This window comes from Homo sapiens, chromosome 20 (genome assembly GCF_000001405.40).
Source record: "Homo sapiens chromosome 20, GRCh38.p14 Primary Assembly".
Lineage (NCBI taxonomy): Eukaryota > Metazoa > Chordata > Mammalia > Primates > Hominidae > Homo > Homo sapiens.
In genome coordinates, this window is record NC_000020.11 from 44654426 (window position 1) to 44676955 (window position 22530).

Genomic DNA, 22530 nt, shown 5'->3' on the forward strand with positions numbered 1-22530 from the left:
AGAGAGCGCCTGCAGGGAAACTCCCATTTTTAAAACCATCAGATCTTGTGAGACTTATTTACTATCACAAGAACAGCATGGGAAAGACCATCCCCCATGATTCAATTATCTCCCGCCGAGTCTCTCCCACAACATGTAGGAATTATGGGAGCTACTAGATGAGATTTGGGTGAGGACACAAAGCCAAACCCTATCAGTGGGTCTCATACATTGTCAAAGCCAGGGGAGTTTTTTGTAAGATCCTTTCTTGGCTCTCTGTGTTACTCGGGTTCAATAATAGGGGCTGCCATTTACTGAGACAGGTTTGGAGCCAGGTACACTGGGAAGCACTTTATAAGCACCCATCCCATTTCATCTTTACAGTCATCCTCAGATGTAGGAGGTGTTCTCCTCATTTTACAGATGAGGACACTGAGGTTCAGATAGAGAGACAGCCTGCTTGGCTCATGGGTTGTAAGTGGCAAAACTGGGGTTTAAATTTGAATCTGACTCGAGAAACTTCACTCCCCACCTTATTGCCTCCCCAGCCTCTCATGACATTCAAGTCCCTCTTCAACATCAGTCCCACCACTTCCCACCACATTGCTGAAATGCCAATCAACCTAGATGAGTTGCTGGTTGCTTAAGGGTGACACAAATTATTTGCAATTCTTCACATTGCAAGATGGAGTCTAGGTTTCCTCCTCTTGGACCTGGGCTGGCCTGAGTGACTTGTTGGAGTAATAGAGCGTGATGGGAGCAAGCTTCCTGGATTTCCGAGCCTTGGTCATAAAGAAGCTTTGTGGTGTCCTTTGGGGCCTCTTGAACATTCTCTCTGGGAACCCAAGCTTCTAGAAGAGACCATCATGCTAAGAGAGTCCACATATGGCCATTCCAGTTGACAGTCCCACTGAGCCCAGGCTTCCACCATCCCTACGAAGACAGCAATCATGTTAGCGAAGCTGTGTTGGGCCATCCAGCCCAGCTGCCCACTGAAAACCAGGCTTTGGTCAATGCCATGTGGGACAGAAGAATTACCCAAGTAAGCCCAGCCCAAATTCCTGACCTATAGTATTGAGATATGTAATGAAATGGATGTTATTTTAAGCCATTGTGTTTTAGGGGGAGATTGTCACACAGCAGTAGGTAACAGGAATGCTTGCTTCTACCTGCCCCAGCCCTCCAGCCTCTGCACCTTAGTCACTTCCATCCTGACACCTGGAAAACCCTTTACCCAGATCCTAGACTATCAAAATTCTGCATTCCAAATGGGTCAGATCCAAAGGGCCAGGCTGCGTGATGCAGTTCTTCTGTTTGCCCCTGCAGGTGCACTCTCCACCCTTCTGCACGCTGCTCTGCTCCTCTGTGTCCGGCAGCCATGCTGCTGTGGGTGAGACCAATGGGCTCTCCTGCCCTCTGGCTCTGGTTGGGTTTTGTCAACAGGGAGCACCAGCAGGAGAACAGCAGATGAGAGGAGAGAGGTCAGGATATTCATTCCCCCTTTCCCTCGGTGCACAGTCACTGGGCTGACTGTGTCTCTCTACCAAGGCCACATCTCCTGTCAGTCCTCCTGGCCCACCTCTCCATACCCTCCCCATTCCAGATTCCCTCTTGCCTATTGATTGATTGATTGATTTTGAGACAGAGTCTCACTCTGTCGCCCAGGGTGGAGTGCAGTGGTGCAATCCCAGCTCACTGCAACCTCCACCTCCTGGGCTCAAGCAATTCTCATGCCTCAGCCTCTGGAGTAGCTGGAATTACAGGCACCCACCACTATGCCCGGCTAATTTTTGTATTTTTAGTAGAAACTTGGTTTTACCATGTTGGCCAGGCTGGTCTTGAACTCCTGACCTCAAATAATCCACCCACCTTGGCCTCCCAAAGTGTTGGCGTTACAGGCATGAGCTACCGTGCCTGGCCTCCTGCCGTTTTCTTGAAAGGCAGTGGTTCCCTTTGTTACCAGAGTCCCACGCCACCCGTTGTTGCTTTCCTTAAACTCTCCTCGCTAGGTTCAGGTTTCCCCAGAAGCAGAGCCTGAGACAAAGATTTCAATGCAAGTAGTTTATTTGGGAAGAGGAAACATGGGAAGGATGTGGGTGCGAAACAAGACAGGAAAGGGGAAGAAGCTGACATGAGCAGGTCACCACACTGAGCACCTGGAGCTCTATCCCTGGGCAGCACTCTGGGAGATGATGAATATGTTGCAGGCTTAACCCAGCAGAGGAGCGAGGAAGCTGGGGAATCTAACTGCCCCCTCCCCTCTGGCAATGCTTCCAGGACATTAACTTCCTGGCACTCTTAGTTTGTTCAACATGACCGGCTGAGTTTCTTGCATGGCTAGAAAATATTTGCAGCAATGAGAGAGAGACTCTGTTAGCAGTAAGTAGCTATTGCCATGTAGAGGTGATTTTGAGGGCATATGGGCAGCTACACCAGCCCACACCTATGTAAATAACTCCCATATTAAACCCTCTTCAATTACTCAGTTTGAGTGTGGCACCTGGTTCCTGCCAGGACCCCGAGTGATACAGGCTGGTCTTGAGCTTCTTCATAGCAATACAGAGTGGACCAGTGACTACAGAAAGCTTGAGAGGGGCTGGAGAGAGATGCCTTCCCCAATATTCATTATCCACACAGCACGCCACTCCTGTGAGAAGACAACAGAGATTGTGTATGTTTGAGAATGTCTCTCTACCTCCAATGTAGCCCTCCTGAAAAATCTAGTTCAAGATCTATTCCAGGCCAGGCGCAGTGGCTCACACCTGTCATCCCAGGACTTTGGGAGGCCGAGGCGGGCGGATCACCTGAGGTCAGGAGTTTGAGACCAGCCTGGCCAACATGGTGAAACCCCATCTCTACTAAAAATACAAAAATTAGCCGGGCATGGTGGCATGCACCCGTAATCCCAGCTACTCGGGAGGCTGAGGCATGAGAATCCCTCTGGGCCACAGAGGGAGACTCTGTCTCAAATAAATAAATAAAAATCAAGATCAAAATGTATATGATCAGGAGCCTCAGCTCCACCACTTACAGCTCTGTGGCTTTGGGAAAGTTGTTTTGAGCCTTGATTTTCTCATCTGTGTAGTGGGGATAACATATACATACTAATTAATAGGATAAACCATAGACACGCCTCGCTCATAGGAGGAGAAGAACATCCTCACACAATGGGAGAGGTGGGGATTGTGGAAAGGAGAGAGCAAATGCCTCGTCAAGATGCTGCTGTGCTGAAACATAAATCCAGTGTTGCCAGATCCTCCAATCATCCAAAAAAGCCGGAGACCCATCTTTTAATGTTTAAACTGTATTCAAATGTGTCCTAATGTTTAAAACTTTGTATAAGCCAAAGAAAACATCTGTGGGCCAGATTTTGCCCCACACAGCCAAGGTCCCTGCTGATTCTGATCTTCTAAGATCTCTGAATAAGAAAGAGGACAAGGGACAGGTTGCCCTTTCACTCACATTTATCAGACAGGATTAGGATCAGTTGCACACAACAGAAAACACCCAAATAATAGTGGCTGAAAAAAGACAGAAGTTTATTTCTCTGTTGTGTAAAAAGGCCAGAGGCAGGCAATGCCACTGATGTGACAACTCTGTGAAGATGCCTCCTTCTATCTCTCTGCTCTGCCATCCCTAGCATCCAGCCCCTATCCTCATTGTGCAGTATGGCTGCTGGGGCACCAGCCTTCACATCTGCAGTCCAGAGAGCAGGGCTGAGGAAAGGATGCAGCAGCTAGTGCTTGTCTCTCTTTTTTTTTTTCTTGAGACAGAGTCTCACTCTTTTGCCCAGGCTGGACTGCAGTGGCACTATCTTGGCTCACTGCAAGCTCTGCCTCCGGGGCTCACGCCATTCTCCTGCCTCAGCCTCCCAAGTAGCTGGGACTACAGGCGCCTGCCACCACGCCTGGCCACTTCTGTCTTTTAAAGATCTAGATACCTGGTTTTCCTCACAACAAATTCTGCTTATATAGTCACATGGCCACATCTAATCGCAAAGGAAACTAGGAAATGTCTTATACCTGTAAGGCAAGGTACCCAGCTAAAAAAAAGGAGATTGTGTTACTAAAGAAGAGGATAGTAGGCCCACTGCAGTGGCTCATGCCTGTAATCCCAACACTTTAGGAGGTCGAGGTGTTCGATCACAAGGTCAGGAGTTCGAGACCAGCCTCACGAACATGGTGAAACCCCGTTTCTACTAAAAATACAAAAATTAGCTGGGCACGGTGGTGCACACCTGTAATCCCAGCTAATTGGGAGGCTGAGGCAGGAGAATTGCTTGTACCTGGGAGGCAGAGGTTGCAGTGAGCCATGATTGTGCCACTGCATTCCAGCCTGGGTGGACAGAGCAAGACTCCGTATTGGGGGAAAAAAAAAATTAGAGGATAGTAGATCTAGAAGGCTGCTCATTTCTGCCACATCAAATAGCCTGGTAGGTGAGGAGGGTATATGGATAGGTGGAAAGAGTGTTACCAGGAAGCCAGATTCTGCTGTCCATATCATATGTCTTTAAGCCTCTTTCTGACCAGGAGAAGAAAATAAGAGAGCAAGATAGAAAGAGGCCTGAGTATAATCATAGAGACAACTTACCAAGGACCTGTTGCATGCCAGGCCCAGCACTGAGTCTTGTGCCAACATTGTTTTAGTCCATTTTGTGCTGCTATAGCAGAATACCTGGAACTGGGTAATTTTTATGGAACAGAAATGTATTGGCTCATGGTTCTGGAGGCTGGAAAGTCCAATATCAAGGTGCTGGCATCATTCAAGGGCCTTCTTGCTGCATCATTCCATGGTAGAAGATGAGAGAGTCCGAGAGGGTAAGAGAGGGAGCAAGAGATTGATCTCACGGCCTCAAGCCTTTTTATACTCAGCATTAATCCACCCATGAGTGTGGAGCCCCCATGACCTAAACACCTCCCATGAGGCCCCACCTGCCAACACTGTTGCATTGGGGATTAAGTTTCTAACACATGCTTGTTGGGGAACCACATTCAAACCATAGCAAACATCATCTCAGATTATTCTTTTCATCCAGCCTATCCGGTGGGTGGGCCTCGTGTTATTGTGGGGTGGGGTCACATCTTGCCTGTGCCAGCTGGGGTAGGAGGCCTGGACATCCAATTGTCTCCCAGATTGATAACCAACCCACCCTTCTGTCTTCTGCCCTACCTGACACCACTTGGTCTTCAGAGATTTCTGGTCCCTCCAATCCCTGAGCCTGAGATTCTGCAATTTGCTTTGTCCTAAAGGCTCCCCGTGAGCAGCCAGGTTTCAACTTCCTGGGTTTCTTGTCAGTCCCCACTCACCATCTGCCTTCCAGCTTCCGGAATTTGGTTGATTCTTCTCATCTGCTATTTTCTTCCTCATACGTTTTCTTTGTCCCAGTAGATAGATGTGCATTTAAAAAAAAAATCCCTGTGTCATTTTCTTGGAATTTCAGAGAACAATGGAGAGAAATAAGTGTGTTCAACCTGCCATGTTTAAACAGCAGTCTCCAGCCTCAGTTCTTGACTGGGGGAATCCTCAGCCCTCAGGAGGATTGTATGGTATCCCCATCCTTCCCCCATTCCTTCCTTATCCTGCTCCAGGAGTCCATGGGAGCCCTCGGCACACAGGACTCTCTTCCCCACTCTCTGAACCTGGGGCATAGTTCTGTCCTGCCTCCATAGCCCATACCTGCTTCTCAAGAGCAGGGGCCTTGTCTTCTTCTCTCTACTTCGACAGGTCTGGGCAGGCCTCAGGAAGATAGATATGAGCTCATGGTGTGGGTCATTCCTAAGAAGTCACTTTGGACTTTGAGGAGTTAAAATTCAAAGCTGGGGATGAGAGTCAGGCATTTCTAAATTAGAATATCAAGTGTATTCCCACTGTATTTACAATGGAGGCCAGCATCAACACTCAAGGTGAAAGCCTGATAGAGTCACATTGGTCCTTGAAAACCTCTTAGGAAGATGCCAGGTGGAGACAGAGGCATCGTCCCTCACTGAATCTGATACAGCCAGCATTTTCTCCGGGGCTTCTTCCCCATGTCTTGAGTAAGTGCCTGCTGGAGATCCTGGTTTGGGTTGAGAAGCTGTGTTATGTAGACAAAGTGCATCTTCAGATCCTAGAATCTTCCTCAGTGGGTCATGAGCCTCATGTTGCTCATAGGAAAAGAGGCCAAGAACTAGGGTGACCAACCATCCTGGTTTACCAGGTCTGAGTAGTTTATTGAAATACAGAGTTTTCAGTGCTAAAACCAAAACAGTCCCAGGGAAATTCCCAATTGTGGTCACCCTACAGAACAACCGTAACAACAGGATTACCTCTCACACACCCTCCTGGACATGTGCATGTTACACAATTTGTCCACTTTCTGTTGCTGTCATAGAACCCATGGGACTGGGTAATTGACAAAGAAAAGGGGTTTGTTTTTTACAGTTCTGGAGGCTGGGAAGTCCAAGACAGGGTGGCTGGATCTGGTCAGCTTCTGGTGAGGGCCTCGTGCTGTGTTGTAACACAGCAGAATGCATCGTAGGGTGAGAGGAAGCAAGAGAAAGCCGAGGAAGCAAGAGAAAGCCGAGGAAGCCAAACTCACTTTTGTAATGAACTGCTCTCAATAACTCACCCACTTCTGTGAGAATTAACCCACTCCTGTGAGAAAGGCATTAATCCCTCCTAATGACCTAATCCCCTCTTAAAGGCCCCACCTCCCAATACCATTACATTGGGGACCAAGTTTCTACATGCATTTTGGAGGAGACAAACCACATCCAAACCATAGCACACACACAACATAAAATCGTTATCTCCTACAGTTTACCACACCCCTCAACCTCCACGCCCCTCTCACCAGCCTTTTTTTTAATACGAATTCTTGCTGTTGTTGGCCTGGGCTGGAGTGCAATGACACGGATTCGGCTCACTGCAACCTCTGCCTCCTGGGTTCCAGCAGTTCTCCTGCCTCAGCCTCCCGAGTAGCTGAGATTACAGGTGCCCGCCACCACGCCCACCTAATTTTTGTATTTTTAATAGAGATGGGGTTTCACCATGTTGGCAGGGTGGTCTCAAACTTCTGACCTCAGGTGATCCACCCACCTCAGCCTCCCAAAGTGCTGGGATTACAGGTGTGAGCCACTGCGCCCGGCCTCACCAGCCCTTTTAAGGGAAATAGATGGTAGACTTGTTCGGAGAGTGGGCTCTGGAACTAGGCTCTGGAAGCTTCAGTTGCAGCATTCATTAGCTGTATGTGTTTGGGCAAGTCACTTTACCTCTCTCTGCCTCAGTTTCCTTATCTATAAAATTGGAAGAATAATAGTAAGTTCTACTCTGTCAGGTCATTGTAAGGATTGAATGAATTAATATTATGGAGAGCAGTTAGAACAGTGCCTGTCATGGAGGAAGCTACACAGGTCACAACTCCTTAACTGAAACTCCAGTGTCTCAGGATCCTGATGCATTTTGGAATTTAGGGAGTTTTGGGATTTTGGAAAGCACATGACTTATATAACACACTAGTGGGTAGTGGGATCTGGCTTAGCATCCCATAACGAAACACATTAATATTTCTGCAGAAAACAATATACGAGTATTCATACATCTGTTCAGGTTAGGTTTTGGCTACCCAATGAGTTTTGGTGTTACATTATTTTGTTCAGAAACACTGGGATCTCTGAAGTGTGGATAAGGGCTTGTAGGTCTGTGTAAGGTTTTGCTATTATTATTGTTGAATGTGCATCTGATATAACTGCCATGCAGTTGCTTCTTGAGGACAACTCTGAGCTTTTATGCCCAAGGCCCTCCTGGACTCTTGGAGTTTTCTAGCAGGGCCTTCCTGCACCAAGAGCTCTGAATAACCTTTGAAGGCTGACAGGACACTCTCTTCTTCTCTCTCTACCTAGGTCCTCAATTTAGTGATGTCTCCCTGTTCCTCTCAGTGTGGTAATAGAGGTTGGCAGGGGAGGGGTAGGTTGCAAATGCAATCTCCAGGAGCCTTCCCCAGCCTGACCCTCACCCCCTCAACCCCAGCTGGTCCCAGTGGGGGAGGGGCACAGGTTGTGTGGAAGTGATGAGTAAGCCCCTCTTCTGGTGAAGCTATTGTGGGTTCAGGCAATCGTCTGGCCTGCACAGGCAAGATAATGGAGTCAAAGGAGGCTTATGGCCCCTCAGCCGCCCCTGGGCATGCACAGATGTCTCTATGGCACACACTAGCACTTGCAGAAAAGCATTGGTGCCAGGTGCGGTGGCTCATGCCTGTAATTCCAGCACTTTGGGAGGCCAAGGCGGGTGGATCACTTGAGGTTAAAAGTTCGAGACCAGCCTGGTCAACATGCAAAACCCCGTCTCTACTAAAAATACAAAAATTAGCCGGATGTGGTGACGGGCACCTGTAATCCCAACTACTCGGGAGGCTGAAGCAGGAGAATCACTTGAATCTGGGAGGTGGAGGTTGCAGTGAGCCGAGATCGCGCCACTGCACTCCAGCCTGGGCGACAGAGTGAGACTCTGTCTCAAAAAAAAGAAAAGAAAAGTGTTGGAGGGGAACGAGAAAGTTCCCCCTTAATTCTCAGCCAGTATTTACTGAGTGTGACCCTGGGCTGGGCCCCAGGCTAGGTGCTGGGGACACACAGTGAGGAAAACCTGGCCCCTCTGAGATAAACCCACAGGCCAGGGGCAGCTGCCTTCTGACATTGGGGGTATGGGGCTGGCCCTCACCCTGACCATGGTGGCAGGTGCCCACCCACCCTTCAAAGCAAGAGGAGGGAGGGAGAAGTGCCTGTATGTTCAAGAGTTACTTTACAAGGACAAATGGGTCCATCACCTTGGTTGACGTCAGCAAAGAAGCATCAGCCAAAGCCTTGAGGTGACCCCAAAAGACTGGGGTGCAGGTTAGGGGGTTGAGACAGGCTCAGCATGGAGAGAGGAGGGTAAAGCTCCTGCAGAGGCCCCAGCTCCCAAAGATGAAGCTACCGCTTGATGATGCTGTCTCCAGGGCCAGAGATCTTCCTCTCATCCCGCACTATCTGCAGTCCTCTCTGGTGTGTGTGGGGCGCAGTCATTAGACCCATCTTCCAGGTGAGAGATCTCTGCCTCAGGGCTCAGAGGACCTCCTCCTGGGGTTTCAGATCAGTCTTCCAGGATGGAGGATGGGAAGCAGGCCATCAAGAGTTCTGGTAAGAAATGAGGTTTCTAGTCAGGTACGGTGGCTGACGCCTGTAATCCAAGTACTTTGGGAGGCCGAGGCAGGAGGATCACTTGAGGTCAGGAGTTCCAGACCAGCCTGGCCAACATGGTGAAATCCCATCTCTACTCAAAATACAAAAATTAGCCAGGAGTGGTGAAGTGCACCTGTAGTCCCAGCTATTTGGGAGGCTGAGGCAGCAGAATCGCTTGAACCCAGAAGGCGGAGGTTGCAGTCAACTGAGATCGCACACTGCAGTCTAGCCTGGGTGACAGAGGGAGACTCTGTCTCAAAAAAAAAAAAAAAGAAAGAAAGAAAGAAATGAGGTTTCCCTGACTGAGTCTGGGAAGCTGGCATTCATTCGTTCTTTCACTCATTCATTCTGGCTGATCCCGAGCTCTGACAGTTCCTATCTGCATGACCCTGGCAGCTCACCTCAGCCCTGAGCCTAAGATTCTACTATGTACCAGGCACTCTTCAGTCTACTTAGGATACAGAAGGAGCCAGGTAGTCATGACCTCCAGCCTCATGACGCAGATAATGGGGTGGGGGTAGGGGCAACTAGCTTATTCTGGAGGCTTCCTGTAAAAAACAACGCTTAAGTGGAGGTGGACAGAATCTCCCCATCACGCTGGGGAAAGGCAGAAATGGATTTAGCAAACTTACTGTGAAAGTCACAGCTTAAGCCTTAGAGCCCCTCACTTGCCAGGGGCCTTCCAGGGGCCTGGGAGGGGCCAAGTAATGCACACTCAGGATCACATGCTTTAGTAGAATTTGCCAATGTAAGATGTTTTAACTGTAATTTATTAAGACTGCTGCCCCTCTCACTCCAACTTCCCTCTCTGTCATACTTCCCCTTCTTTTGGGTATTGCCCCAGTGCTTCTGGCATTTTGGGGGATCTAGCTAAGGAGAAGTTGTCACGGAATACTGACATTGATGAAAATAACAAAAGTCAAAATACACCACTACAAAAAGGATGTAATAGAAAGCATCAATTCAAAAAAATTTTAAGATTAGTCATCAAGGAAACATAATAAGTCCGGAAATCTTACAGCTCCGATATGAAAGAAACTTGATAGAGGTTCTTCCAAATTTGACAACAATCCTAGAATTTTATGACCTTCCAGTAGTCCCCCCTTATCCTCGAGGGATACATTTCAAGACCCTCAGTGGGTGCCTGAAACCGTGGATAGTACGGAATCCTATTTAGACTATGTTTTTTTTGATCCAATAGCCAAGACAACTACTAAGTTGACGAATGGGCAGGTAGTGAAGATGCTGGACAAAGGGGCAATTCACACCCCTGGTGGGACAGGGTGGGGTAGAGTGGGGCAGCACCAAATTTCATTACGCTACTCGGAACAGCATGCAATGTAGAACTTAATGAATTGTTGATTTCTGGAATTTTTCATTTAATATTGTCAGACTGTGGTTGTCCATGGGCAACTGAAACCTCAGGAAGCAAAACCTTGCAGAAGAGGGGGCTACTGTACCAGTAATAAGTTGCAAAGCTGAAAGAAACTTTATCGACCATAAGAAATTTGGGGCCAGGCACAGTGGCTCATGCCTGTAATCCCCGTATTTTGGGAGGCCAAGGTGGGAGGGTGGCTTGAGGCCAGGAGTTCAAGACCAATCTGGGCAACATAGTGAGACTCCATCTCTACAAAATCTTAAAGTATTAGTTGCATGTGGAGACACATGCCTGTAGTCCTGATTACTTGGGAGGCTGAGACGGGGAGATCCTTTGAGCCCAAGAGTTTGAGGCTGCAGTGTACAAAGATCAGACAACTGCATGCCTGCCTGGGCAATGGAGCAAGACCCTGCCTTAAAAAAAAAAAAAATGGGGGCCGGGCACGGTGGCTCACACCTGTAATCCCAGCACTTTGAGAGGCCAAGGTGGGTGAATCATTTGAGACCAGGAGTTTGAGACCAGCTTGGCCAACATGGTGAAACCCTATCTCTACTAAAATTACAAAAATTCGCCAGGCGTGCCTGTAGTCCTAGCTACTCAGGAGGCTGAGGCAGGAGAATCGCTTGAACCCAGGAGGTGGAGGTTGCAGTGAGCCTAGATTGCACCACTACACTCCAGCCTGGGCGACAGAGCAAGACTCTGTCTCAAAAAAAAAAAAAAAAAAGAAAAAAAAATTAGTCAACTGTGCTAGAGAAAAGATTAAAGTATCTTCTTATTCTCTCTAAAGAAAATGACATTACAAAATCAATGTCACATGAAGAGGTTAACGTAAAAGTATACAAACACAATGTAGGAATGAAATAATTATAGATATGTATCATATTGATGAAAATATGAATGTAAATGTAAATTTTAATTTATGTAATTATGAACAAAAATGTAATGCTATTATGTAAATAAATATATTTATTATGTTACATGTAACTTAACATGTTTAATAACTTATTATGTTATGAACTGTTGCTGACTATGTGGCCACAACAGGGGAGGGAATCTTGGGACCCTTATTCAGAGAGATCAAGACCAAATAAAGGACCTAATAAGTCATTTCCTTCAACCTGTCACCAGTGCAGGAATCCTCTTCCTGATGACAGCTGTCCACTGAGCCTCGGCTCTGTACATTTCCTGGGATGAGGAATTCACCCCTCCTCCAAATCCTGTACTATCTTGGGTCAAAACTCTGGTTGTGGGAAGTTCTTTAGTCAAGCTGATCACTAGCTGTCGGTGGTTTCCCCTTGGGTCCTCATCTTCCCCAGCACCCCCAGAAATCATGGGCTGCTGCTTCCCATTTTATTATAGCTCTGCAGTGCTACAATGCAGCTCTAGTATCTTGCCCTGGCCTGGGATAACCTGCCCTTCTTCAAAGTTTCCTTTTATGTCTTGACTTCCAAAGTCTTCCTCATCCATGATCGCAGAGATTGATCAGCCACTCATACATATATGAGGACGACAATGATGATGATGATAATGAGAACAGCTAGCCAGCACTGAGTGCTTACTGTGTACTGGGCTCCGTGCTGGGTGCTGTATGAGCACCTGCTGTTGGTCTCATGCACACCTATTTATGTTGGTTTTGAGTAACTTGTGCAGGTATACCTTTGATTTAAAATTTTGGTTTCTATTTAGACTACGATAGGAATTTTTGTTTTGTTTAGCCTTCTCTCCTAAGCTTAATGAAACCACATATTCAGAAAGAAAGGACACATTTAATTAAAACATTTCAAAGACACACAGCTTAAAAGAGTGATTACCCTAGACCTCTTACAAACAAATATGCCCCTCCTCCAAAACTCTTCTTAATGTAAATTTCAGAGAGGAAAAGCCAAAAACAAAAACAAAATCGAGAATGTGTGTTAATTTATCTGGCTAAAACCTGATAAAAAGATTTTCTTGGCCGGGCGCGGTGGCTCACGCCTGTAATCCCAGCACTTTGGGAGGCCGAGGCGAGCGGATCACGAGGTCAGGAGATCGAGACCATCCCGGCTAAAACGGTGAAACCCCGTCTCTACTAAAAATACAAAAAATTAGCCGGGCGTAGTGGCGGGCGCCTGTAGTCCCAGCTACTTGGGAGGCTGAGGCAGGAGAATGGCGTGAACCCGGGAGGCGGAGCTTGCAGTGAGCCGAGATCCCGCCACTGCACTCCAGCCTGGGCGACAGAGCGAGACTCCGTCTCAAAAAAAAAAAAAAAAAAAAAAAAAAAAGATTTTCTTAAGAGCTCTGTAGTTCAAAGTCAACTTAATTAAAAGCAGGTATTAAGACTATAATTTTTAAAATAGAGCCTTTCTGCTTCTTCTATTTTGGATCTTGTTTTGGGGAATTTTTTTTCAGGTGACTGAAACCCCTCTTTTAATTATATGGTGAGTCCCTCTCTCTGTTCGCTTCCTTTCTTGTTGGTGTGATTTTTTGCTGAAGGAAAAAAAAAATGTAAAACTTAAGCAGCTTTCTGGAAAGCTTAAATTTATTCTCTGTGCTTTGAAATGTAAATTTCCTACCTTGTCTAAAATTCAGTGAGGTACTCGCTTCGCAGCACATATACTAAAACTGGAATGAAGGCCGGGTGCAGTGACTCACGCCTGTAATTCCAGCACTTTGGGAGTCTGAGGCGGGTGGATCACCTGAGGTCAGGAGTTCGAGACCAGCCTGGCCAACATGGTGAAACCCCATCCATACTAAACATAAAAAAATTAGCTGGGCGTGGTGGCACATGCCTGTAATCCTGGCTACTTGGGAGGCTGAGGCAGGGGAATTGCTTGAATCTGGGAGGTGGACGTTGCAGTGAGCCAAGACTGCACCACTGCACTCCAGCCTGGGTGACAGAGAGAGACTCTGTCTCAAAATAAATAAATAAACAAATAAATAAATAAAATGAAATTGGAATGATAGAGAAAAGATTAGTAGCATGTCACCTGTGCAAGGATGAAATGTAAATTCTGAAGCGTTCCATTAAAAAAAATATGTTATTTAATAAAATTAATTAAGGCCAGGTGTGATGGCTCACACCTGTAATCCCAACACTGGGAAGCTGAGGTCAGGAATTCAAGAGCAGCCTGGCCAACACGGTGAACCTAGTCTCTATTGAAAATGCAAAAATTAGCTGGGCATGGTGGTACACGCCTGTAAGCCCAGCTACTTTGGAGGCTGAGGCAGGAGAATAGCTTGAATCCAGGAGGTGGGAGGCTGCAGTGAGCCGAGATTGTGCCACTGAACTCCAGCTTGGGCAACAGAGCAAGACTCTGTCTCAAAAACAAACAAACAAAAAAATGAAAAAAAAATAAGTCACAAAGGGATCAAACTTCATTTTGGCTACTCCTGCTTTGGCGATGGCCACAAAAGGGAAAAAGTTTTTCAAATTTTTTTGGTAACTATGCCTTTAGAGTTTTGCCAAGCTAAATTAAACTATGAATATTTATTGAAGATCTAGATCATTTCCAAATAAGATATAATGCTAAGACATTAATTACTACATATAAGTTTAAGCTCATATACTTTTGGTTTCTTATTTCAGAGAAACAAAAGATATTTAGGGGCTGGGTGTGGTGGCTCATACCTGTAATCCCAGCACTTTGGAAAGCTGAGATAAGAGGACTGCTTGAGGCCAGGAGTTACAGACCAGCCAGGGCAACATAGTGAGACCTTGTCTCTACAAAATAAAAATTTTAAAGTTAGCCAGGAGTGGTGTTGCATGCTTGTTAGTCCTAACTACTCAAGAGGCTGAGGCAGGAGGATCGATCACTCAAGCCTAGGAGTTTGAGGCTGCAGTGAGCTATAATCACACCACTATATTCCAGCTTGGGCAACAGAGCAAGACCCTGTCTCAAAAAAAAAAAAAAAAGAGATATTAAGATCCGCTAGTAAAAGTATCCTATTCCACACTGAAAAATTGTTCCATTAGAAAGCCTGTGTTTCTAAATATTATAAAATGTGTATTAATCAATTGTTAGTACATAGTGACAAAATTACTTCTGGCTGGGCGGTGGCTCACACCTGTAATCCTAGCACTCTGGGAGGCTGAGGTGGGCAGATCACCTGAGGTTAGGAGTTTGAGACCAGACTGGCCAACATGGTGAAACCCTGTCTCTACTAAAAATACAAAAAATTAGCCAGGCGTGGTGGTGTGTGCCTGTAGTCCCAGCTACTTGGGAGGCTGAGGCAGAAGAATCACTTGAACCTGGGAGGTGGAGGTTGCAGTGAGCTGAGATCGCGCCACTGCACTGCAGCCTGGGTGACAGAGTGAGACTCTAAAAAAAAAAAAAAAATTACTTCTTAGATTTTCAGTATAAATTAAGATTACTAAGATTTAAAATTCTGACTAATATATGGTAACTAACACTAGAGACCAGAAGGAAGACAATTCTGTATTCAGAATATGTAAGGAAAGTAAGACATCTTTTTAGGAAGGAAGATTATAAGAAAGACATAAGCATGTGGTTTTTGTTAAAGAGAAAGTGGTTTTGCCTAGTTTAGAGGTTATTTAAAGGCTGTATGAAATTGGGATAAAAGAAGGAAAGAATAAAATAGATTAACTGAATGGATATAGAAAGTTGGGAAAAGAAAGAGGAATGGAAAAATTGTAAGAAGTTATAAAAGGTTTATAGAAATATTATCTCGTGTGGTCAAAGCTGATTGAGATTAGATGATTTATAAGGTTTTATTAAAATTAGGCTTTATATTTATAATGCATTGATGCAAAAGTAGAATCATTTTTCTATTTTGAACTAGATAGTCACATAGTTTTTTTTTTGTTCTTTTTTTTTTTTTTTTTTGAGATGGAGTCTCGTTCTGTCACCTAGGCTGGAGTGCAGTGGCGTGATCTCGGCTCACTGTGACCTCCACCTCCTGGATTCAAGTGATTCTCCTGCCTCAGCCTCCTGAGTGGCTGGGATTATTGGCATGCGCCTCCATGCCAGGCTAATTTTTGTATTTTGAGTAGAGAAAAGGTTTTGCCATGTTAACCAGGCTAGTCTTGAACTCCTGATCTCAGGGTGATCCGCCTGCCTTGGCCTTCCAAAGTGCTGGGATTGCAAGCGGGAGCCACCGCACCCTGCCTCATATAGTATTAATAAGAGATAGCAAAAGATTTTTTTGTTTACCTTTTGAGTAAACTGCTGCTAAAAAAAAAAAAAAGGAGAAAAGAAACGGGGGAGAGGGAGAGACATTCTGTTGGTCTCAAGTTGTCTTTTTCAGGTCTTTTGTGTCAGGCCTCTGAGCCCAAGCTAAGCCGTCATATCCCCTGTGACCTGCATGTATACATCCAGATGGCCTGAAGCAACTGAAGATCCACAAAAGAAGTGAAAATAGCCTTAACTGATGACCTTTCACCATTGTGATTTGTTTCTGCCCCACCCTAACTGATCAATGTACTTTATAATCTCCCCCCACTTAAGAAAGTTCTTTGTAATCTCCCCCACCCTTAAGAAAGTTCTTTGTAATTCTCCCCACCCTTGAGAATGTACTTTGTGAGATCCACCCGCTGCCCACAAAACATTGCTCCTAACTCCACTGCCTATCCCAAAACCTGTAAGAACTAATGATAATCCCACCACCCTTTGCTGACTCTCTTTTCGGACTCAGCCCGCCTGCATCCAGGTGAAATAAACAGCCTTGTTGCTCACACAAAGCCTGTTTGGTGGTCTCTTCACACAGATGCGTGTGACATTTGGTGCTGAAGACCCGGGTCAGAGGGACTCCTTCGGGAGACCAGTCCCCTGTCCTCACCCTCACTCCGTGAAGAGATCCACTTACGACCTCGGGTCCTCAGATCAACCAGCCCAAGGAACATCTCACCAATTTCAAATTGGGTAAGTGGTCTTTTCACTCTCTTCTCCAGCCTCTCTTGCTACCCTTCAATCTCTCTGTCCTTCCAATTCCAGTTCTTTTTCCTCTCCAGTAGAGACAAAGGAGACACATTTTATCCGTGAACCCAAAACTCCAGGGCCGGTCACAGACTCAGGAAGACAGTCTTCCCTTGCCATTTAATCACTGCGGGGACGCCTGCCTGATTATTCACCCACATTCCATTGGTGTCCGATCACCGCAGGGACGCCTGCTTTGGTCATTCACCCACATTCCCTTGGTGGCAAGTCAATTGCGGGGACGCCTGCTTTGGCTGCTCACCCACATTGCAGCCCAGGGCTGCTCCCCACCCCCTTCTCCATATCTCTACCCTTCTCTTTAAACTTGCCTCCTTCACTATGGGCAAACTTCCACCCTCCATTCCTCCTTCTTCTCCCTTAGCCTATGTTCTCAAGAACTTAAAACCTCTTCAACTCTCACCTGACCTAAAATCTAAGCATCTTATTTTCTTCTGCAACACCACTTGGCCCCAATACAAACTAACAATGGTTCTAAATGGCCAGAAAATGGCACTTTTCATTTCTCCGTCCTACAAGACCTAGATAATTTTTGTTGAAAAATGGGCAAATGGTCTGAGGTGTCTTACGTCCAGGCATTTTTCACACTTCGTTCCCTCCCTAGTCTCTGTTCCCAATGCGACTCGTCCCAAATCCTCCTTCTTTCCCTCCCACCTGTCCCTTCAGTCCCAACCCCAAGCGTCGCTGAGTCTTGTGAATCTTCCTTTTCTACTGAACCATCTGACGTCTCACCTTCTTCCCAGACTGCTCCTCCTCAGCTCGCTCCCCACCAGGCTGAATCAGCCTCCAACTCTTCTTCAGCCTCTGCTCCCACATCCTATAACCCTTCTATTACCCGCCCTCCCCACACCCAGTCTGGTTTTCAGTTTCGTTCTGCGGCTAGCTCTCCCCCACCTGCCCAACAATTTCCTCTTAGAGAGGTGGCTGGAGCTGAAGGCATAGTCAGGGTACATGTGCCTTTTTCTCTATCAGACCTTTCCCAAATCAGCCAGCATTTAGGCTCTTTCTCATCAGACCCCACTAAATATATACAGGAATCCCGATATCTAACTCTGTCCTACAGTTTAACCTGGAGTGACTGAAATGTCATCCTGACTTCTACCCTCTCCCCAGATGAACGGGAAAGAGTTTTTTCTCTAGCCCAATCTCACGCTGATAACCGCCGGCTTCATGAACCTGACCTCCAGGAAGGCAGTAGAGCAGTTCCCCGAGAGGACCCCCAATGGAACTATCAGGCAGATTCCCCAGGTATGGCTAGGCGAGATTACATGGTTTCCTGCCTAGTTGAAGGGCTTAAAAAGGCAGCTTACAAAGCTGTTAATTATGACAAACTTAGAGAAACTACCCAAGGTAAAGACGAAAACCCAGCTCAGTTCATGGCCCGCTCGGCAGCAACCCTTACACACTTTACCGCCCTAGACCCAGAGGGGCCAGAAGGCCGCCTTATTCTTAATATGCATTTTATCACCCAGCTCCTGACATTAGAAAAAAGCTTTAAAAATTGGAATCCGGCCCTCAAACCCCACAACACGAATTAATCAACCTCCCCTTCAAAGTGTACAATAATACAGAGGAGGTAGCCAGGCAGCAACGCATTTCTGAGTTACAGCTGCTCGCCTCCGCTGTAAGACAGCCCACAACCACGTCTCCAGCATACAAGAACTTCAGAACATCCAAGCCACAGCTCCCAGGGGCTCCTTCAAAACATCCTCGTGGACCTTGCTTCAAATGCTAAAAGCCTGGCCACTGGGCCTCAGAATGCCCGCAGCCCGGGATTCCTCCTAAGCCGTGCCCTGTCTGTGCGGGCCCCCGCTGGAGGTCGGACTGTCCGACTCACATCACTGCCACTCCTAAAGCCCCTGGAGCCCAAACCCTATGTTCCTTGGCCGACTCCTTCCCAGATCTCCTCGGCTTAGCAGCTGAAGACTGACGTAGCCCGATCGCCTCAGAAGCCTCCTGGACCATCACAGACGCTGAGCTTCGGGTAACTCTTAAAGTGGAGGGTAAGTCCATCCCGTTTAATCGATATGGGGGCTACCCACTCCACATTATCTTCTTTTCAAGGGCCTGTTTCCCTCGCCCCCATAACTGTTGTGGGTATTGATGGCCAAGCTTCAAAACCCCTTAAAACTCCCCCACTCTGGTGCCAACTTGGACAACGTTCTTTTATGCACTCTTTTTCAGTTATCCCCACCTGCCCAGCTTCCTTATTAGGCTGAGACATTTTAACCAAATTATCTGCTTCCCTGATTATTCCTGTACTACAGCCACATCTCATTGCCCCCTTCTTCCCAACCCAAAGCCTCCTTTGGGTCTTCCTCTCATATCCCCCGACCTTAACCCACAAATATGGGACACCTCCACTCCCTCCCTGGCAACCAATCACATGCCCATTACTATCCCATTAAAACCTAATCACGCTTACCCCACTCAATGCCAGTATCACATCCCACAACAGGCTTTAAGGGGATTAAATCCTGTTATCACTTGCCTGCTACAGCATGGGCTTCTAAAACCTATAAACTCTCCTTACAATTCTCCCATTTTACCTGTTCAAAAACCGGACAAGTCTTACAGGTTAGTTCAGGATCTGTGCCTTATCAACCAAATTGTTTTGCCTATCCACCCTGTGGTGCCCAACCCGTACGCTCTTTTGTCCTCAATATCTTCCTCCACAACTCACTATTCCATTCTTGATCTTTAAAATGCTTTTTTTCACTATTCTCCTACACCCCTTGTCCCAGCCTCTCTTTGCTTTTACCTGGACCGATCCTGACACCCATCAGTCCCAGCAGCTTACCTGGGCTGTACTGCCGCAAGGCTTCAGGGCCAGCCCTCATTACTTCAGCCAAGCTCTTTCTTATGATTTACTTTCTTTCCACCCCTCTGCTTCTTGCCTTATTCAATATATTGATGACCTTCTACTTTGTAGCCCCTCCTTTGAATCTTCTCAACAAGACACCCTCCTGCTCCTTCAACATTTATTCTCCAAGGGATATTGGGTATCCCTGTCCAAAGCTCAAATTTCTTCTCCATCCATTACCTACCTCAGCATAATTCTTCATAACAACACATGCGCTCTCCCTGCGGATCGTGTCCGACTGATCTCTCAAACCCCAGGCCCTTCTACAAAACAACAACTCCTTTACTTCCTGGGCGTGGTTGGATACTTTTGTCTTTGGATACCTGGTTTTGCCATCCTAACAAAACCATTGTATAAACTCACAAAAGGAAACCTAGCTGACTCCATAGATTCTCAATCCTTTCCCCACTCCTCTTTCTGTTCCTTGAAGACAGTTTTAGAGACTGCTCCCACACTAGCTCTCCCTGGCTCATCTCAACCCTTTTCATTACACGCAGCCGAAGTGTAGGGCTGTGCAGTTGGAATTCGTACACAAGGACTGGGACCGCACCCTATAGGCTTTTTGTCCAAACAACTTGACCTTACTGTTTTAGGCTGGCTATCATGTCTCCATGCGGTGGCCGCTGCTGCCCTAATACTTTTGGAGGCCCTCAAAATCACAAACTATGCTCAACTCACTCTCTACAGTTCTTATAACTTCCAAAATCTATTTTCTTCCTCACACCTGACACATATACTGTCTGCTCCCCGGCTCCTTCAGCTGTACTCACTCTTTGTTGAGTCTCCCACAGTTACCATTGTTCCTGGCCCGGACTTCAATCCAGCCTCCCACATTATTCCTGATACCACACGTGACCCCCATGACTGTATCTCTATGATACACCTGACATTCACTCTATTTCCCCACATTTCCTTCTTTCCTGTTCCTCACCCTGATCACACCTGGTATATTGATGGCAGTTCCACTAGGCCTAATCGCCACACACCAGCAAAGGCAGGCTATGCTATAGTATCTTCCACATCTATCATTGAGGCTACCACTCTGCCCACCTCCACTACCTCTCAGCAAGCTGAACTCATTGCCTTAACTCGAGCCCTCACTCTTGCAAAGGAACTACGCACTACGCATCAATATTTATACTGACTCTAAATATGCCTTCCATATCCTGCACCACCATGGTGTTAAATGGGCTGAAAGAGGTTTCCTCACTACGCAAGGGTCCTCCATCATTATTGCCTCTTTAATAAAAACTCTTCTCAAGGCCGCTTTACTTCCAAAGGAAACTGGAGTCATACACTGCAAGGGCCACCAAAAGGCATCAGATCCCATCGTTCAGGGCAACGCTTATGCTGATAAGGTAGCTAAAGAAAGAGCTAGCATTCCAACTTCTGTCCCTCACAGACAGTTTTTCTCCTCCTCATGGGTCACTCCCACCTACTCTCCTGCTGAAACTTCCACCTATCAATATCTTCCCACACAAGGCAAATGGTTCTTGGACCAAGAAAAATATCTCCTTCCAGCCTCACAGGCCCATTCTATTCTGTCATCATTTCATAACCTCTTCCATGTAGGTTACAAGCCGCTAGCCCGACTCTTAGAACCTCTCATTTCCTTTCCATCATGGAAATCTATCCTCAAGGAAATCACTTCTCAGTGTTCCATCTGCTATTCTACTACTCCTCAGGGATTGTTCAGGCCCCCTCCCTTCCCTACACATCCAGCTTGGGGATTTGCCCCTGCCCAGGACTGGCAAATTGACTTTACTCACATGTCCCGAGTCAGGAAACTAAAATACCTCTTGGTCTAGGTAGACACTTTCACTGGATGGGTAGAGGCCTTTCCCACAGGGTCTGAGAAGGCCATCATGGTCATTTCTTCCCTTCTGTCAGACATAATTCCTCAGTTTGGCCTTCCCACCTCTATACAGTCTGATAACGGATTGGCCTTTATTAGTCAAATCACCCAAGCCGTTTCTCAGGCTCTTGGTATTCAGTAGAAACTTCATACCCCTTACCGTCCTCAATCTTCAGGAAAGATGGAACGGACTAATGGTCTTTTCAAGACACACCTCACCAAGCTCAGCCTCCAACTTAAAAAGGAGGACTCTGTCAAGGATACAGCCCAAAAACTCAACAACCAAGCAAGTAATTACGCTGAACAGCCTTGGGCACTCTCTAATTGGATGTCCTGGGTCCTCCCACTTCTTAGTCCTTTAATACCTATTTCTCTCCTTTTATTCAGACCTTGTGTCTTTCATTTAGTTTCTCAATTCACACAAAACCGCATCCAGGCCATCACCAATAATTCTGTATGACAAATGCTCCTTCTAACAACCCCACAATACCACCCCTTACCCCAAAATCTTTCTTCAGTTGAATCTCTCCCACTGTAGGTTCCCATGCTGCCCCAATCCCACTCGAAGCAGCCCTGAGAAACATTGCCCATTATCTCTCCATACCAGCCCCAAAATTTTTCGCCACTCCAACACTTCACCACTATTTTGTTTTGCTTTTCTTATTAATATAAGAAGACAGGAATGTCAGGCCTCTGAGCCCAAGCTAAGCCATCATATCCCCTGTGACCTGCCTGTATACATCCAGATGGCCTGAAGCAACTGAAGATCCACAAAAGAAGTGAAAATAGCCTTAACTGATGACTTTCCACCATTGTGATTTGTTTCTGCCCCACCCTAACTGATCAATGTATTTTATAATCTCCCCCACCCTTAAGAAGGTTCTTTGTAACCCCCCCCCCGACCCTTAAGAAGGTTCTTTGTAATTCTCCCCACCCTTGAGAATGTACTTTGTGAGATCCAACCCCTGCCTGCAAAACATTGCTCCTAACTCCACCGCCTATCCCAAAACCTATAAGAACTAATAATAAACCCACCACCCTTTGCTGACTCTCTTTTCGGACTCAGCCCGCCTGCACCCAGGTGAAATAAACAGCTTTGTTGCTCACACAAAGCCTGTTTGGTGGTCTCTTCACACAGACGCACGTGACATTTTGATTGTTTGGAAAATTCAGTCTCCTCTCTATGAAAGAGTAAAAGTTTGCTTTTTGAAATATTTGAATCATCACTTTGGCTAGATGAATGACTACAATTTTAAACTCACTTTGCCAACACACTGACATTGGCAGAGTGCAAAGATGGCAAGAGGCTGGGTCCATGGTGACACTGTTAG

The 22530-nt window shown here is 46.5% G+C and overlaps 1 long non-coding RNA gene across 1 annotated transcript, besides 2 other annotated features; it reads right to left on the minus strand.

Annotated features, from left to right (window-relative positions):
- On the minus strand, nucleotides 2026-17314 carry LINC01260 (long intergenic non-protein coding RNA 1260). Its single transcript, NR_034104.1, has 5 exons — nucleotides 17214-17314; nucleotides 8929-9128; nucleotides 5286-5353; nucleotides 4570-4756; nucleotides 2026-2626 (listed from the first exon to the last, which is right to left on the minus strand). It is a non-coding gene; the product is annotated as a long intergenic non-protein coding RNA 1260 (long non-coding RNA).
- Nucleotides 16053-16554: an enhancer, noted in NCBI's record as "H3K27ac hESC enhancer chr20:43299119-43299620 (GRCh37/hg19 assembly coordinates)". NCBI's record gives its function as "activates a minimal SCP1, AML or CMV promoter by ChIP-STARR-seq in naive H9 embryonic stem cells {active_cell/tissue: H9 hESC(naive)}" and the evidence as "EXISTENCE:reporter gene assay evidence [ECO:0000049][PMID:30033119]".
- Nucleotides 16555-17054: an enhancer, noted in NCBI's record as "H3K27ac hESC enhancer chr20:43299621-43300120 (GRCh37/hg19 assembly coordinates)". NCBI's record gives its function as "activates a minimal SCP1, AML or CMV promoter by ChIP-STARR-seq in naive H9 embryonic stem cells {active_cell/tissue: H9 hESC(naive)}" and the evidence as "EXISTENCE:reporter gene assay evidence [ECO:0000049][PMID:30033119]".
- Nucleotides 17315-22530: the final 5216 nt, after the last annotated feature.